A 17082-nucleotide genomic window follows, 5' to 3' on the forward strand; every position below is an offset into this window, starting at 1 on the left:
ATTCAGAGGCTACACCTGAGATTGTACATTGATAGAAGCCTATTTTATACAGTCACATACTGAAGAAGGATGTTTTAGTTAAAAATGGACTGCACATATTAATACAATGGTGATCCCATAAGATTATAATAGAGCTGAAAAATTCCTATTGCCTAGTGGCATCATAGCAGTTAAATCATTGCACAATTATTTTTTGTAAATTTAGTGTAGCCTAAGTGTACAGTGTTTATAAAGTCTGCAGTAGTGGACAGTAATGTCCTAAGCCTTCACATTCACTCACCACTTACTCACTGACTCACCCAGAGCAACTCCCAGTCTCACAAGCTCCATTCACGGTAAGGGCCCTATATGGGTGTACCACTTTTTATCTTTAATACTATTTTTTTGCTATACCTTTTCTATGTTTAGAAACAAAAACACTCCACACTGCACCACAGTTTTCTACAGTATTCAGTATAGTTATATACTATGCAAGTTTGTAGCCTAGGGGCCATAGGCTATGTCACATAACCTAGGTATGTAGTATGCTATATCATCTAGGTTTTTGTAAGAACACTCTCCAATGTTTGCACAATGACAAAATCTCCTGACGACACATTTCTCAGAAGGTATCTCCATCACTGAGTGACTCATGGCTGTATTTGCATGACTCTTTACTGTATCCAAAGTGGTTCACAAACCGTATATCCACTATTAACATTATCTCCTTTAGTTATTCACTGGTCAGATCATTCCAATCTAGTTTCCCTTTCCACTACTCTACAGAACTGTTTTTTAAAAGTAACCCTCTATTTTTTACATAAAATAATGATTTTCATTTTTATCTCACCAGACTCAAACTCTTTGCATTCCTGTCTTCCACAACAGCACACATTTCTAGTGATATTCCCATTTCTCTGACCATTCCTTTTGATTTCCTGTTGCCATTGCAGGATTTTGAGCCTTAAAAAGTTGGGGCTTCTTGGGGTTTTGTCCTTTTTCCTGTTCAATTCTTAAGCTCCATATTCTCTTTGAACAATCACATCTAAATCCACAGTCTCAACCAACAACTGCTTACCAACATTTCCCAAATATCTCCAGCCAAGTCATTGCTTTTGACCTCCAAACCAGTTTTTCCAACTGTATATGGAATGTCTTTCACTTGGATATCCCAGAGGATTTTTGCATCTGCATGGACAAAATGGAGTAAATCTAGCCTCCTAGTTTCCCTTTTGCTCCTGTTGGTGTTCATAGTGTTGTTGGATTACAACGTTGTTTTCAAACTTCCAAGCCATTCACATGGAGATTATTCCAGATTTTCTCTATTTCACACTCATAGTCAGTCACGAAGTCCTGTCATTTCCTAATCATCTCTTGAACCTGTTCCCTTTTGCTACTTCCTCTGTTATTTCCCTATCTCCAGTATTTATCATCTTTTGCTGGACTAGCGCAATAACCCAATGCAGTCATAGATTTCATCAGTCCAACCTCCACATCACAGCCCAAGGTGTCTTTCAGAAACACAAACCTTATGGCGCCACTACCCTGGAACTATTGCTCATCATTTTCTTTGGGATTAACAAAGAAGCTTTACACTGGCATGGAGTATATTCTGGCACATTTCTACCTTGCTAGCTTTATCACTCACCCCTCCTACCTCGACACCACATTTTATCTAGCAAGTCAGCCTATGCTCTGGATAGCTCTGGTCTTACATCATACTCTACCACATCTCTGGGCACTTACTGCCCCTTCTCTTGACCATTTTTCTCATTTTCTCTTCTACTCAGCTCAGACAACACTTCTTTTCTGACATCTTTACTAGCTGTTTTTCCCACCTGAAAAATTAGGAATCTCTTCCATACTTCATGAAGCTCCCACAGATTTCTGTATTTGTCCTTTCATTCTGTATTTTAATAGTCCCTGTATTTATCCCTTTCAAAGGTATAGGCTCCTTAGGGAGGTACCACATACCAATCCTCTTTATAACTCAGAAACTTAAACAATGCCTGAGTTATGGTGGATTGCAAATATTTGTTGAATGATTAAAATATGTTCTGCATAGAAAAACATACTATCCACAATTTTTTTTTTTTTTCGAGATGGAGTCTCGCTCTTGTTGCCCAGGCTGGAGTGCAACGGCGTAGTCTCGACTCCCCACAACCTTGGCCTCCTGGGTTCAAGCAATTCTTCTGCCTCAGCCTCTCGAGTAGCTGGGATTACAGGCATGCGCCACCACGACTGGCTAATTTTTTGTATTTTTAGTAGAGATGGGGTTTCTCCATGTTGGTCAGGCTGGTCTTGAACTCCCGACCTCAGGTGATCTGCCCTCCTCGGCCTCCCAGAATTGGCCCACAGTTTTGTTTTGTTTTTTTTTTTAACTGTACTCTCACTCTGTCGCACAGACTGGAGTGCAGTGGCTCAATTTCTGCTCACCGCAACCTTCGCCTTCCGAGTTAAAGCAATTTTCCTGCCTCAGCCTCCCGATTAGCTGGGATCATAGGCACATGCCACCACACCGACCTAATTTTTGTATTGTTAGTAGAGATGTGGTTTCACCATGTCAGCCAGGCTGGTCTCGAACTCCTGACCTCAAGTGATTCACCCATCTCAGCCTCCCAAAGTGCTGGGATGTATAAAAACTGATTGATTCCCATTCAAGAGTGTGAATGCAGCTCATATATCTTTGACAGGCATGCCTGGATTTCCTGAGATGAGTGGCCTCTTAACATTCTGGTATTGCTCTTGCCCGCTACTACCATGGCTTTAGTAGCAAAAAAAACAGGCAAGGCTTTGGGAGGCACCCTGATGTTTAATCATCACCTGGGTTATACTCAATGCCTGACTACATAGATACCCCAAACTCCACTCTCACTGACTTTCACAAGAGATAATGAAGAGGATTTTTTTTAAAGGGGGTATGGTAGGTGGGGAACAAATTTATAAAAGGAGGTAGAGAGAGCTCTGTGGAGAGGTTCAAGATCAGAAAATAGGCAGCAGAAGTTCAGCTGTCTAGAGAAGAAGGGAAGCATCACACACCATGCCTCCTAGCTGCAAGGGGAGCTCAAAAAACATCTCACAAAACCCCTGTCACAAATCCAGAAATGTACCAGAAGGGAGACACTGCACCTCAACCTAGCTGGGCAAGAAATTCAGAGACAGACTGTGGCATATCTCACCCAAAAGTGGGTTATTTGTGACATTAAAGGAAATTGCCAAACAGGTAACCCAAGGCACGCTGAATGCCTGCAGGAAAGCAGCAGGAACAAGTTCATGCTGCAGCAGAGTCAGGTGCATGGGCACTCTGAACACCACGATGGTTGGCAGTCCAAAATCATGGCTGGCAAACTAAGGCCTGTGGGACAAATATAGCCCAAGGCCTATTGCTGAATAGCCTGGGAGTGAAAATGATTTTTGTCTTAAAAATATTATATGTATTTAAACGATGAGCATGGAATAGAGACCATATGACTGCAAAGCCACATTTGCTATCTGGCCTTTTACAGAAAATCTTTGCCAACCCCTGTACAGACTCTCTCTGTACAGCTAAGTCTTATATCATACCCAGATCCAGAATAGTTTACAGAAATGCACTCACTGGGATGAGATAGTTTTTTAAAATGTTGAAATTATTATGGCCAACTTGGAGTTCTCCATGTGAAAGATTAAAGAGTAGACTTTATTATCTTGCTTCTAAGGATACTCTTGCTCTGAAGCGAGTTTCTAGTGTGGAGAAAGCATAGGACAAGAAATCAGGAGATCTGGCTTCCAGTGACAACATCAAGATTGGTTGAGGATCTTAGGCAGCTCACTTAACATCACTGTATTCTAATTTCCTAATCTACCAAACAGGGATAATGTCTACCTTACTCTCCTCACATGGTGGTGGTGAGGATACCATGAGATGACAGATACAGTATGCTTTGCAAAGTTGAAAGGGAAATACAAATAGACGTATTATGAATAATGACATCATCAACCCTTAATTATGGCTACTTTGGGGGAAGATGAAAGACATGGATAAATTAAGTCATTAGTTATTAGTAGAACTTTCTACTTATTTTTTATCTCTTTCCTCATTAAATCTTTAATAACACAAGTGTCAGGATGGATTGAGTTTAAAGTTTTCATCCTTTAATTTGATAAGTGTATGTTTTGTTGATTGTGTATTTTGTGCTCAGTACCTATGGGAGGAGTGAAAATTAACAATGAATGGCTCCAATACAGTAATTAAACTTAGAGGAGGGAGGAAGTGAGAAGCCTAGAAAATTTAAAAGAAAAAACTAAACAAAACCCCAAAAAGCCCACTTTATTATCAATCTCACTATCAAAACCTATTTCTTTAAAGCTGGTTAAAATAGTTTCTATTTAGAATCGAAATCAAAGTTAACCTCCTTGGCAGCACCACAAACTCAGATATACTTACTCTTTTCTATATCAGAGGCAACACTGTTTTTCTCTGTTTCTTTCCCTTTCCTTTTTCTGAGCATACAGAAAGACTGCATTTCCCAGTGTTCCTTACAGTTAGGTAGGGACATGTGACTAAGCCTGGATAATGAGCTTAAACCTGAGGGACCTGAGTCACTTCCGGGCCAGAGGATAAAAGAAAGATGTAAGTTTTTTTCTCTCGCCCTGCTCTGCTTATCACAGAAGCTCCGTATCAAGATGACAGAGCTCAGCCTGGTACTGGTACAAAAACAGACTCATAGACCAATGGAACAGAATAGAGAACCCAGAAATAAGGTTACGCACCTACAAGTATCTGATCTTCAATGAGTCTGACAAAAACAGGTGATGGGGAAAATACTCCCTTTTCAATAAATGGTGCTGGGAGAACGGGCTAGCCACATGCAGAAGATTGAAACTGGACCCCTTCCTTACACCATATATAAACATTAACTCAAGATGGATTAAAGACAGTAAAATTCAAAATTATTAAAACCCTGGAAGACAATCTAGTCAATACTATTCAAGACATTTTCAAGGAGGCACATTTATCTAAACAAAAGATAAGAAAAGTGGAATGAAAGGACATATGTTTAAATATAATCAAAAGTTGCTATCAATAGAGAGGGAAAATAATGGGAAGGGGATGAAGGGAGAAAATAATAATAAATAATAAAATGATAAAATGAAATAAAACTGCTGAGTTTTTATGCCCTTACAAAATGCACGTCCTTCCTGGAACCTCAGAATGTGACATCATCGCCATACCTCAGTATCCAAGGGGGATTGGTTCCAGGACTCCCTTGGATACCAAAATCCATGGATGCTCAAGTCCCTTATCTAAAATAATGCATCATTTGCATATAACCTGCACACATCCTCCCACATACTTTAAATCAACTCTAGATTACTTATAATACAAAATACAATGTAAATGCTATGTAAGTAGTTGTTATACTACATTTTTACTTGTAGTATTTTTTATTATATTGTTATTTTTTGCTGATTTTGTTTTTTTCAAATACAGTATTTCAGCCTGCAGTTGGTTGAACTTGCAGATGCAGAACCCCCAGATATGGAGCCTGACTGTATTTGGACATAGTGTTATTACAGATGCAGTTAGTTAAGATGAGGCCATCCTGGAGTAGGGAGGGCCCTTAACCCAGTATGCCCAGTGTTCTTATAAGAAAAAGAGAGGGGATATAGAGACAGCCACACACAGGGAGGATGATAAAGATGCAGGGAGAACAACACGTGACAACATGGAATGGTCTTGTAGAGTGACCACTCCATTTGAGTCAAGCAATGAGTTAGGTACTATGGATCAAATAACAACACCCTATTCATTCCCTCAAAGAGTTTATAATATAGTGGTGGAAAAGGATAAACAGCTAGGCAGTTACATTGTAGTGTGATATATAAAAGCTCTAGTATAATAATCCTGGACAAGACAAGGCATGCCCAGGATTGCTAGCAACTGCCAGAAACTAGGAGAAGGCGGAGAAAAAACTTCACCTAGAGTCTTCAGAGAGAGTTTTGCCCTGCTGACACCTGACTATCCAGTTTCCAGCCTCTAGAATATATTCATTATATATATTTTCATTATTTAAGCCACTCAATTTGTGGTATTTGTTATGGCAGCCCTGGAAGACTCATCCTAAACCAAAAAGATCTTGTTTAAATTCATGGTCATGAGCTGATGAATATGTGCCTTAGTTCCTAGAATAAATGAAGAAAGGGTAATGGAATTCTTTTTTATTTTGAAAACGGGAGATGTCTTAGTTCAGGCTGCTCTAACAAAGTACCATTGACTAGGTGGCTTAAACCACAACCATTTATTTCTCACAGTTCTGGAGGCTGGGAGTTGAAGATAAGGATACCAGCTGGGTACGATCCATGCCCAGTTTTCCATGCAGACTGCTGACTTTCTTATATATCCTCGCACTGTGAAAAGAAGGTGAGCTAGCTCATTGGCCTTTCCTTATGAGGGCACTAATCCCATTCGGGAGGGCTCCATCCTCATGACCTAATTACCCTCCAAAAACCCCTCCTTCAAAAACCATCACACTGGGCATTAGATTTCAATATATGAATTTGGGGGGACTAACACAGTCAGTCCATAACAAGGGATGATCTTCACACCCATAGGAGAAGCCTTGTAAGACTTGTACTGTATAGCATTGTTCTTTGCAAATTACATTATGCAGGCTATGGCTTGATTTATGCTACCTCTGTGGTTGTGTTGGGGCAGCTGTCATAGAAGAGGACTCCTCCTGTATTTATGCTGAACTTGCTCAGAGTATGAGTAGAAAAAATATTTAGACAAGCTTGTGTCAATCATTTCTATAAGAGGTTCTTAGGTCCTTATCAATAACATATCAATAACATATAGCAAGAATGTATATTTTAAATTAGGATGTGGAACAAAAACACTGCAACTGGTCCCAAAACATCAGTTAACTGTTGGCACCTAAGGAAAGGTAAGTGAACATCTCAGATTATTCCCTTACATCTGATTTATTCCTAAAAAGAACGGGAACAAATGGCCCCAGGGCAGATGGTCTGAGCATCTTCTTTAAAGTGAGTATTAATTTGAATTAGGAAGCAGAGGGTGCCACTCCATGGCTGAGTTGCCTGTACCTGTTAATACCTGCAGCGGCCCTCTCTGACCTGCTTACAACCCCTCGCACAGCCTTTCAGATCCAAGGCCTTAACATTAGAAAGAACTTTAAGACACTCTCTAGAATAGCTGTTCTCAACTTAGATGCTCCTAAGACTCACCTGGGTGACGGCTAAACTGCTGATTCCCCAGGCTCATTTCCTACCCTCACCCCCAGAGATTCTCATTCAGGAGCTAAGTTGGGGCCCAAAATATTTGTAATTTTTAAATTAAAATCAGGTGATTCTCATGTAGGTTCTCTAACAATACTTCAAGAAAGAGTTATCCAGACTCTGCAACTCTACAGTACCTACAATTCATGCCCAGTGTCTTGTTAAAATGCAGGTTTTGATTCTCTGTAGGTCTAGGGTGGGACTTGAGTTCTAGCATGTCTAAGGGGTTACCAGGTGATGCGGACGCCCGTGGTCCACTCACAACACTTCAGGTGGGAAGCTTTTAAAATCCAGGTGCCCCCATGGCACTGCAGACCAGTTGATTCAGAAACCATGGGAGTGGCACCCAGCATCAGTATTAGTGTAAACTTCCACAAGTGACTCTAATCCATAGCTCAGCATGAGGCCTCCAGCGCCAGTGGCCACTTTCAGGTGGCGATGGTAACTTCTAACTCACGGACTCCCTCTAGGCACAGATAAGCAGTAACTAATATCTCAAAAGAAGAGATGACTGACTTCAAAGAAGTGAAATTTAAGGAAAATAAAGCCTGGGTATGACTATGATATTTTCAGTTTAACAAAATCATTGTTGCAATTGTTTACTTTTATCTGCCTCCAAGGACACTTAAATTACCCTTAAATGTATTATTTCCCACTAATTAAAAACTATTGTGGGTAGGCCTTATTATGTTTTTGTCATTGTGAATCAGAATTTATTCTGATATATTTTTCCTTTGAGTCTGGATTTACTCTTGGTTTCTACACTGCTGGGTAGTGGTTCAGTGACATAGCTGGACAGTCCTCTGTGTCCTGTAGGTTAATGATGATTAGAGTGTGAAGAACATTCACCTGGACACTCACACACGCAGCACAATTACCCTCCAATTTCCTTCAAATTTCTCCAACCGAGTGCTGCTGTATGGTCAGGAATGACCTCACATATTCTGAGTATTTGCTCTGTCCCAACCTGAAATCCAGGTTCCAAATCTTTTTGGAATCCTTTTACCAAATGCTTGATTAACAAGGAAATAATTTATGTTATTAAATTCTGATTTCTATAGCCCTCACCTGCTTTTGTGGCAGCTTCAAAGAAGGATTCTTCTGAGACATTTGCTTACAGGAACCAAACTTCTTCTATTCCTGATTATTAAAGGGGATAAAATATATGAACAGTACTTTGGAAACTGTATTGTGCTTGGTTCTCTTACTGTTGACAGTAGTAGTATTTAGGAGAAGTCTTCTGAGATAATCAGGAGTAGCATTTGGTCAGATAAACAAAACACTTAACTGAAACAAGGAATCATTTAAAAATGATGAAAACTATCAAAATTTTATACTTCAATGTAAAATAGTTGTAGGCAGAGCTGACATTTGGCCAGCATGCACTGACATGGCTATATAATTACTTAAATTTGAGCATCTTTTCTGATGGGGCAGACATTTGTTCTGCTTGGTCAATGTCAAAACCTTACCAGTTAATAGAGTATTTGGATATAATCCCACTATATTCATCAATCTCTTGACATAGGATCAAGGTCCTTTTTTTCAGAATGGATCTTCTGGTAGCAATTCTGAATCTTTCTTCTGTAAACCATAGCCATAATATATTATCCTTAATTTCCAGTGTCAGTTTTTTTATTGCTCAGTGAGAATTAAAAATAACTTACTATACATAATGAAGACTTCCACACGTTTATGATTCCCCCATTATATATATATCTAAATTTTTTTTTTTCTTTTGAGACAAAGTCTCGCTCTGTCACCCAGACTGGAGTACACTGGAGCCATCTCAGCTCACTGCAACCTCTGCCTCCTTGGTTCAAGTAATTCTTGGGCCTCAGCCTCCTGAGCAGCTGAGAGTACAGGCGCCCGCCACCACATCCGGCTAATTTTTTGTGTTTTTGGCAGAGACGGGGTTTCACCATGTTGGCCAGGCTGGTCTCGAACCCTGACCTCAGGTGATCCACCCACCTCAGCCTCCCAAAGTGCTAAGATTACAGGCATGAGCCACCGTGCCCATCCCCACTTAACCTTTTAGAGTATTTCACCTACACCTCATTTAATGGCAATTTTTAAATCTCACTGAAATGAGTCTTGATAAGCATTCAATCTAATTGTGATAGAATCAACAACAGCATACTCATATTTACATTCTATGGGCTTATGTAATATCTAATTGAATTATGTAATTATAAGAACTAGCACAACTGTCATGAAATATATGGAAACGAACACAACTGATCCTGATAAGCATAATTCAAGTGGTGGGAGCGGAAGTTTGCCGGCATTTATACTAGAATTTAACCTGCTAGCCCTAAGGGCTTAATCTACCTGGGACACTTTTTTATCAAGTAGAAATACATGAAAATGCCGGTTATTCTAGCATTTCTTGACCCACAAAACCAGCAATCTAATATGATTCAACCAGTATGTTTTACAGGGTGATGACAAGCTGGTCTGGTGAGTTAGTTCAGTGCAGGTCAGCTAAGGCTGCTCCTATTATAATATTCGAAGAACAGAGCTGTTTTTCAACATTGGGCTTCCTCTTTAAGTGTTTTGAACTGCACTTATTAATGGTGCTTATTCTTCTGCCAAGCGTTTCACAAAAAATTTTCCTGTAACCTCAAAAAAAAAGTCCCCTCAACCTCACCAAAAATGCTATGGTTGAATAAGTTTGGGAAACACTAGAAACCATAGCCATCTAGGAGATTCATAATGATCATTAGCATGTTAAAGGCTCTGAGAAGTCCTGTAGCAAAGGCCTTTGTTTAACTTTGTTTACCTTAGGGTTTCATAATTTATTTCACAAAAGTAGGCCGTTTCATGTAACATCTAATCCTGAAGAGCTAATGTTTAATGAAACAACCACACTTTGGTAAACACTACTCAACCAGCATTAAGGAAAGTATTATTCAGACTTTGTAGTAGATTAAACAAATATCATCTTAATATCTGTTAGAAACAGCATAATTTGTGCAGGTGTCCCAAAGCACTATACAAATTTCATTTAGTGGTAATGTTCCCCCCTTGTACAAATAGAAAAACAAAGGTATAAAGAGGCATTAGGTTGCTTGCCAGAATACACACAAGACTGAGACAAACTGGAACCAAGGCCCACATATCCTAACAACGATTTCTAATCTGTGTTTACAAACAGAACCAAATTGCAAATTGTAGCCACTGGCCACTTCTAACTATTGAAGAGCTAAGGTAAAAAGTATACTCCTTGAGCTAGAAATAGCGAATAAGATTGGGGAACTCTAGGAGAAGGTAACATTGACCTATCTATTTGATTGCTGGTGACTTTCATCAATTATTGAGAGCAGGGACTCTGTAAAATTTCCAACAGCTACAGGGATTCAGGGATCAACTGTCTTAGCTCAAAAGCTTCTTGCAAAAAAAACACGACATGAATATATGGCTCTCTGTTGGAGAGATTCCGACCTTGAGAGAATGAATCTCAGTCATTTATAAGGTTAAATAGATTTATGTGTTCTGAAGCTTGTTAGAGTAATGGGTGTTTCCCAGCATTTTAGAATTGCATGCTACGTGACATGCTAATAACTTTTAGAGCATGCCTGCCCATTCTCTCTGCCGGGGTGGGGGGTGTGGAGCGGTGATGTGAGACTTAAGAATCAGATTTATAGACATCTTTGCTCCATAAGTGTTATCTTTGAATACGCTCCCACACCGCAGGGCCTCATTGCCTGTGTCACAAACAGTATCTGTTATTTCAGAACACTGCAATGCTTACCTCAAGGCCAAGCGAGAGTTGTCAAATAAAGATGAAGAGCCTTTTGGCCAAAAAAAAAAAAAAAAAAAAAGTGCTCTTAAAATGTTTACCTTCTCATACCTAATGGTTTTAGATCATATCTTATTAGCCTAGGAGACCATTACATAAAGTACAATTAAGATCTCCTTGACATTTTCTAGGAGTTCCAATTCAGCTTTGCTAATAGCTATAACTTCATTACTTTCTTTTTTTAAAAAATTAATGCCACACATTGTTGGAAATACAGTTTACAATAATGTGGACTACCCAGGGTGCACTTGCAATAATTACACAGAATGTCAACAGCCTCTCAAGCTGGGTCCTGCGTTGATTGCTTTTGTGACATTCTCATTTGGGTAACTTGCTGGAATTACTCTTCTACCTGCAGACTCCTTCTTCTCCAAGGCTGTGCAGAAAGTGTTCTCAAAACTTTTGGTTTGATCCCTTCTATTGAGTTTTATAGTACCCAGATTATAGGAAGAAATTTGAGCTAGGCATAAGAATAGAATAATTGTTCCCATAGCTAGTATCCCACCCAGTCAGCAAGTTTTATTTTTTGTTTTGGTTTGTTTTTTTTTTGAGACAGAGGCTCACTCCATCACCCAGGCTGGAGTGCAGCTTCGTGATCCTGGTTTACTGCAACCTCCGCCTTCCCAGTTCAAACTATTCTCATGCCTCAGTCTCCCAAGTAGCTGGAATTACAGGCACATGCCACCATGACTGGCTAATTTGTTGTATTTTTAGTAGAGATGGGGTTTCACCATGTTGACCAGGCTGGTCTCGAACTCCTGACCTCAAGTGATCCATCTGCCTTGGCCTCCCAAAGTGCTGGGATTACAGGCGGCAACTTTTGTTCAAGAAACATCCATTGAGCGTCTGCTATATGCAGACCTGTTCCAGGCACTAAAGACACCAAGCCGAATAAGGCTCTCTCTTGCTGTCGTTTGCATGTGTTGAAGTAGGAGGGTTCAGAAACATCTTTCCACACGTGGAAGGATTTCTGCATAGAAAAGACGTCCCATAAGAGTTAAAACTTGAACCATAAAGTTCTATGCCACACCCTTTTTCCTTCACATCTTTTCATCTGTGGCCTCATGCTATCCAGACCTCCCATTGTCAATAGGCTCAATGTGGTTCACTATTTGGCAAATAAGCAATAGCTAATATTTATGGAGTTTCCTCTCTCTACCAGCTCTGTTATAGCATTTTATATGCCAATTCATTTGATGCTCATGATAAATCTATATGGCAGATATTATTATTATCTCCATTTTTAGATGTGAGGAAACTGAGGCACAGAGAGATTAAATGTCACGCACCTAATGAGTAGAGAATCTGAAGTCTGAACCTTGATTATTTGCAGTCAAAGACCCTGCCACTGCTCTGCCATTAGGAGAGAAATCCCGACAAGGAATCGTGATGGTAAATTAAACAACATAGTCCCCAGAATGCGATTAATGCATGTCATAAAACCAGGATAGCTGAAAATAAACAGGGCCTGGACAGAAATAGAATAAAGACTTTTCTCTAAGCTACGCCTGCTTGAGTACTTACGGCACCAGTTCCTCTGAATTGAGGAATAGGGGCTAAAACAAGAACAGCCCTGTTTGTGATCTGCAAATTGTTTTAAACATACTAACGCTTAGGTTAGCTGCTTAGTGTAGCTATGTTGATACCATAGGAATGGGGCATTCAGTTGAACTAACTGATTTTGTTCTATTTATAAAGTCCTGAAATAAAGGGATGTTTTTCCAGTATTATGAAGGTAGAAGCCTGAGCAGGTAAGGTGTGCCCCACCTAACATCTGCTGCCAGGGCTCTGCTGTGTGAAGTGGGCAGATGAGGAAAGTCACACGTCTTACAGAATCCAATTAAATGAGACTCCTCCATTTTATATGTATGACATATTATTTTGATAATAAATTAAAAGCAGGAAGCCAAAAGAGGGTTCAAATTACATTATGCTCCCAGCATACTAAGGGAGGATCCACCTTTGGGAATGCCTCAAGCAGTTATTTCTGAGACACTCATTATATTTCCGGCAATTTGGAATCTGGAAAGAAGGAGTCAATAAGCAAACAGGTTAACTGCTAGACCTAGGTTAGCACTAGATCTCAAAAAGTGCTAAACCAGACATGGGGAAGTGTTATACCATTGATCACAGAGATGCCCTTCCTGTTACTCAAGAAGCACAGTCATTCTCAAAGCCAGGATTGCTGGGGTGAGGTTTTTCTCTTTACAGTATCGATCATATTTTTCACTTGCTTGACTGGTTAAAGAACAGGCTTGGTCCTGTCACTAGATGTCTTCAGGGTTAAATGGAAAAGAATTGTAAAACGGTTGTGCTTATTTGAACGGGTTTCTATTTCATTTGTATTGTCTGTGAATAAAATTTATCGTATGACATTTATGTTCCTTTCAAGCTACTTAATTATCTTTTTTTTTTTTTTTCTGACTGCAAGTCCATTTGAGACTGGCTGAAATAAGCTCTGACTTTTATTTCTGATTTTCTTGACCACTGAATTAGTTTTGGTCCTGCTTTCAATATTGTCATGCTGCAAGTTATTGGTTATAAAACTTTTGCATATTGCTATAATTGTGTTGACTAAACAGCTTAGGAATGCTCTATTAATATATTTGAAAGAGTATGGTATACAGAGAGCAGATGAAATACATTTGAGATGTTTATTTTTTGCCATATATTTATATAAGAGGCTTTTTTCTATGTTTCATTATACTACCTATAGCTGGCTCTACAATCTTAAAGCTATGCTGAACACTGAGCTTATAAAGTTTTAGTGCAACCTCCTAAACTTTCTGTAAATTAATAGTATGTGGATATATTTGTGGTATTAAAAAGAATGAAAATGTGGGGTCTTATGGATGAAAAAAAATACTGTCCTCAAGTATTCATTCAGATGAGAGGGATTAACTCAGACTAAGTTGTTACCTTTTACCCTTGAGTAAACTATAGAGTATGAAGGACAAATAAACAGACAAAATAATGATAAGAAAATATGTCACAGCATAAATAAGATGTGCTATAATAGTGTTCATGGTAAGAGTATGACAAAAAATAGGTACAAGTTTCTCAAAAGAAACAGATTGTATGTCAAAAGTTAGACATTTGTTGTTTGTCAAAACTTGTTGACCTGTACAATTAAGAGCTGTGCATTTTACTATATGCCAAGTATTTTTCAAAAAATGTATGCATGATTTAGAAACTTGTGAAATGGTGGCTAGAAGCACATTGGTGAGCATTTTAGTGACACTTTAAAATTTTTATTTATTTAAAGTAATATCTAGTAAAATGGACTATTGGATGCACAGTTGTTTGACTCTTAACACATGGTCAGATGTATCACTCCCCTAAAACTTCCTCATGCTATCCATCCCTTGTCACACTTCCCCCATACCTTTAATCCTTGTAAATCATAAATCTCTTCTCTGTTTACATAGTTTTGTCTTTTGGAAAATATTATATAAATGAAATCACACCATACGTAACCTTTTGAGACTCATTTCTTTCACCCAGCATAAGATTAAGGCATGCTTCTCTGTGTTTCTATAATTTATTCCTTTTCTAAACTTTTAAGTTCAGGGGTACAAGTGTACTTTTGTTACATGGGTAAACTTGTGTCATGGGGGTTTGTTGTATAGATTATTTCATCACCCAGGTATTGAGTCTAGTACCTATTAGTAGTTTTTCTTCCTCTCCCTTTCCCCACCCTCTACCCATCAAAAGGCCCCCCCACCCCCGGTGTGTTTTATTCCCCTCTATGTGCCCATGTGTTCTCATTGTTCAGCTCCCACTTATAAGTAAGAGCATGCAATATTTGGTTTTCTCTTCCTGTGTTAGTTTGCTAAGGATAATGGCCTCCGGCTCCATCTATGTCCCTGCAAAGGACACGATCTCATTCTTTTTTATGGCTGCATAGTGTTCCATGGTGTATATGTACCACATTTTCTGTATCCAGTCTATCAGTGATGGGCATTTAGGTTGATTCCATGCCTCTGCTGTTGTGAATAGTGCATGTTCCTTTATATTGCCATGTAGTAGACCATTGTATAGATGTACAATTCATTTATCTATTCAGTCATTTAAGGACATTTCAATTTTTTATAGTTTGGGGCAAGTGTGAATAGAGAAACTACTCTCATTAGTTTACAGATATTTGTGTGACCATGAGATCTTTATTTCTTTAGGTTAAATACCTGGGAGTGAGATTGCTGTGTCATATGTAAGTGCATGTTTAACTTTATAAGAAACTTCAAACTGTTTTCCAGAGTGGCTGTGCCATTTTGCATTCCCACTAGTTCAGTTGCTCTTTATCCTTGCCAGCATTTGATATTATCAGGGTTTTAAAAAAGTTATTTTAGTCATTCTAATAGATATGTAGAGGTAGCTCATGATGCTTCAATTAGTGTTTCTCTAATGATAATGATGTTGAACATTATAAAGAATTCTGAAGGTTAGCATTCTCACATGGTAACAAGTTAGCCTAGCACAGTTTCATAAATGCTGACAAAAGACATGAGACTCCTGGGTCAGAGATGAAGGAAGGTGATTATGCACAATAGTACCAGTAGCTAGAATCACCGCATTTGTCTCGGTTCTCTAAGCCTCATTTCTACAGGGTGCCATGAAGAGGGCCAGGTGACACCTGTGTATGCAGTTGATTGAATTATAAAAGAGGAACACTGAACTTAGAGAACTCAAATATTTATAATGAGCAATAAGCCTGCTTACCGCTATTCTGAAGGGGGACACCATATCTGTCTTCCAAGGCTGTTTGCTACACAAACATCCTGAGAAAATTGAAACAAAGGCTACCAGTGCCTCTGGTTCAATGCTGGGGGATAGCAGAGAACAAGATTTTTTTTTTATTTTTTTTTATTTTTTGAGACAGTCTCGCTCTGTCACCCAGGCTGGAGTTCATGGTGCCATCTCAGCTCACTGCAAGCTCTGCCTCCCGGGTTCACACCATTCTCCTGCCTCAGCCTCCCGAGTAGCTGGGGCTACAGGCACCCGCCACCACGCCTGGCTAATTTTTTTGTATTTTTAGTAGGGACAGGGTTTCACTGCATTAGCCAGGATGGTCTCGATCTCCTGACCTCGTGATCCGCCCGCCTTGGCCTCCCAAAGTGCTGGGATTACAGGCATGAGCCACTGCGCCTGGCCAAGATTCTTGTTCTCATGGGAAAAGATTATAATATAAAAGAAGAACTGGGGAGGAGAGGTCCTGGAGACAGTTTGCCAATAGGATGTTGTTAAAACAACCAAGTGTGAAGTGATGCAGAGTGGCCAGGGTTAGGGCAGTCAAGACGGCAAAGACCAGATGTGTGTGACATGGAGGCATTGAAACAGAGAAACAGGATTCACGACATTAACTAAAGAGGAGAGAAAAGAAAGCACCATTCCCAAGCTGCAAGTTTGTTTTAAATACAGTTTTATTTATAAAGTTATTTTAAATTTTATTTTTTAATTAAGTTTTTTTCATTTGATTTTTTTTTTTTTTTTTTGAGACTGAGTTTTACTTTTGTCACCCAGGCTGGAGTGGAGTGGCGTGATCTCTGCTCACTGCAAACTCTGCCTCCCAAGTTCAAGTGATTCTCGTGCCTCAGCCTCCCTAGCAGCTAGGATTACAGCATGAGCCACTATATCCAACTAATTTTTGTATTTTAGTAGAGATGGGGTTTCACCATGTTAGCCAGGATTGTCTCGAACTCCTGACTTTAGGTGATCCACTTGCCTGGGTCTTCCAAATTGCTGGGATTATAGGTGTGAGCCACCACACCTGGCCTAAATTTTTATTTTTAAATAAAATAATTTTTACAAAATAAAGGTTTTTCAGTCATGCTATGCATTCCAAATTGGTACTAAATAAAGTCATAAAAATTTGATATTAGCTGTGTATTCAAACCAAAGGTATTTTGCAGTTCTATCTCAAATGTTAAACTGTTCAATCTGTGACTTTGAAGAAATCACTTCTTTTTTTCAGTTGTATTTCCACATGCAAAATTGAGGCAAAAATGTGTGTTTCTATTCCTTTC

General features: G+C 39.2%; 2 long non-coding RNA genes across 14 annotated transcripts in view; one reads left to right on the top strand and one right to left on the bottom strand.

Moving 5' to 3' along the window:
* The window catches only part of LINC00393 (long intergenic non-protein coding RNA 393), a 116003-nt gene that overhangs the window by 52062 nt on the left and 46859 nt on the right, over positions 1 to 17082 (bottom strand). The window lies entirely within an intron of this gene.
* The window catches only part of LOC105370256 (uncharacterized), a 42020-nt gene that overhangs the window by 5562 nt on the left and 19376 nt on the right, over positions 1 to 17082 (top strand). For 6 of the 13 annotated variants that reach the window (XR_942064.1, XR_942067.1, XR_001749902.1 and 3 more), the window contains 2 exons: positions 6274 to 6382; positions 15235 to 15269. This is a non-coding gene — a long non-coding RNA (uncharacterized LOC105370256). Of the gene's footprint in view, positions 1 to 5242; positions 5367 to 6273; positions 6383 to 13071; positions 13250 to 15234; positions 15270 to 17082 lie in introns of those variants that run through there. The other 7 variants (XR_942077.2, XR_942071.3, XR_942072.3 and 4 more) reach the window with 4 other exon arrangements.

The sequence above is a fragment of the Homo sapiens genome, chromosome 13, assembly GCF_000001405.40.
Source record: "Homo sapiens chromosome 13, GRCh38.p14 Primary Assembly".
NCBI lineage: Eukaryota > Metazoa > Chordata > Mammalia > Primates > Hominidae > Homo > Homo sapiens.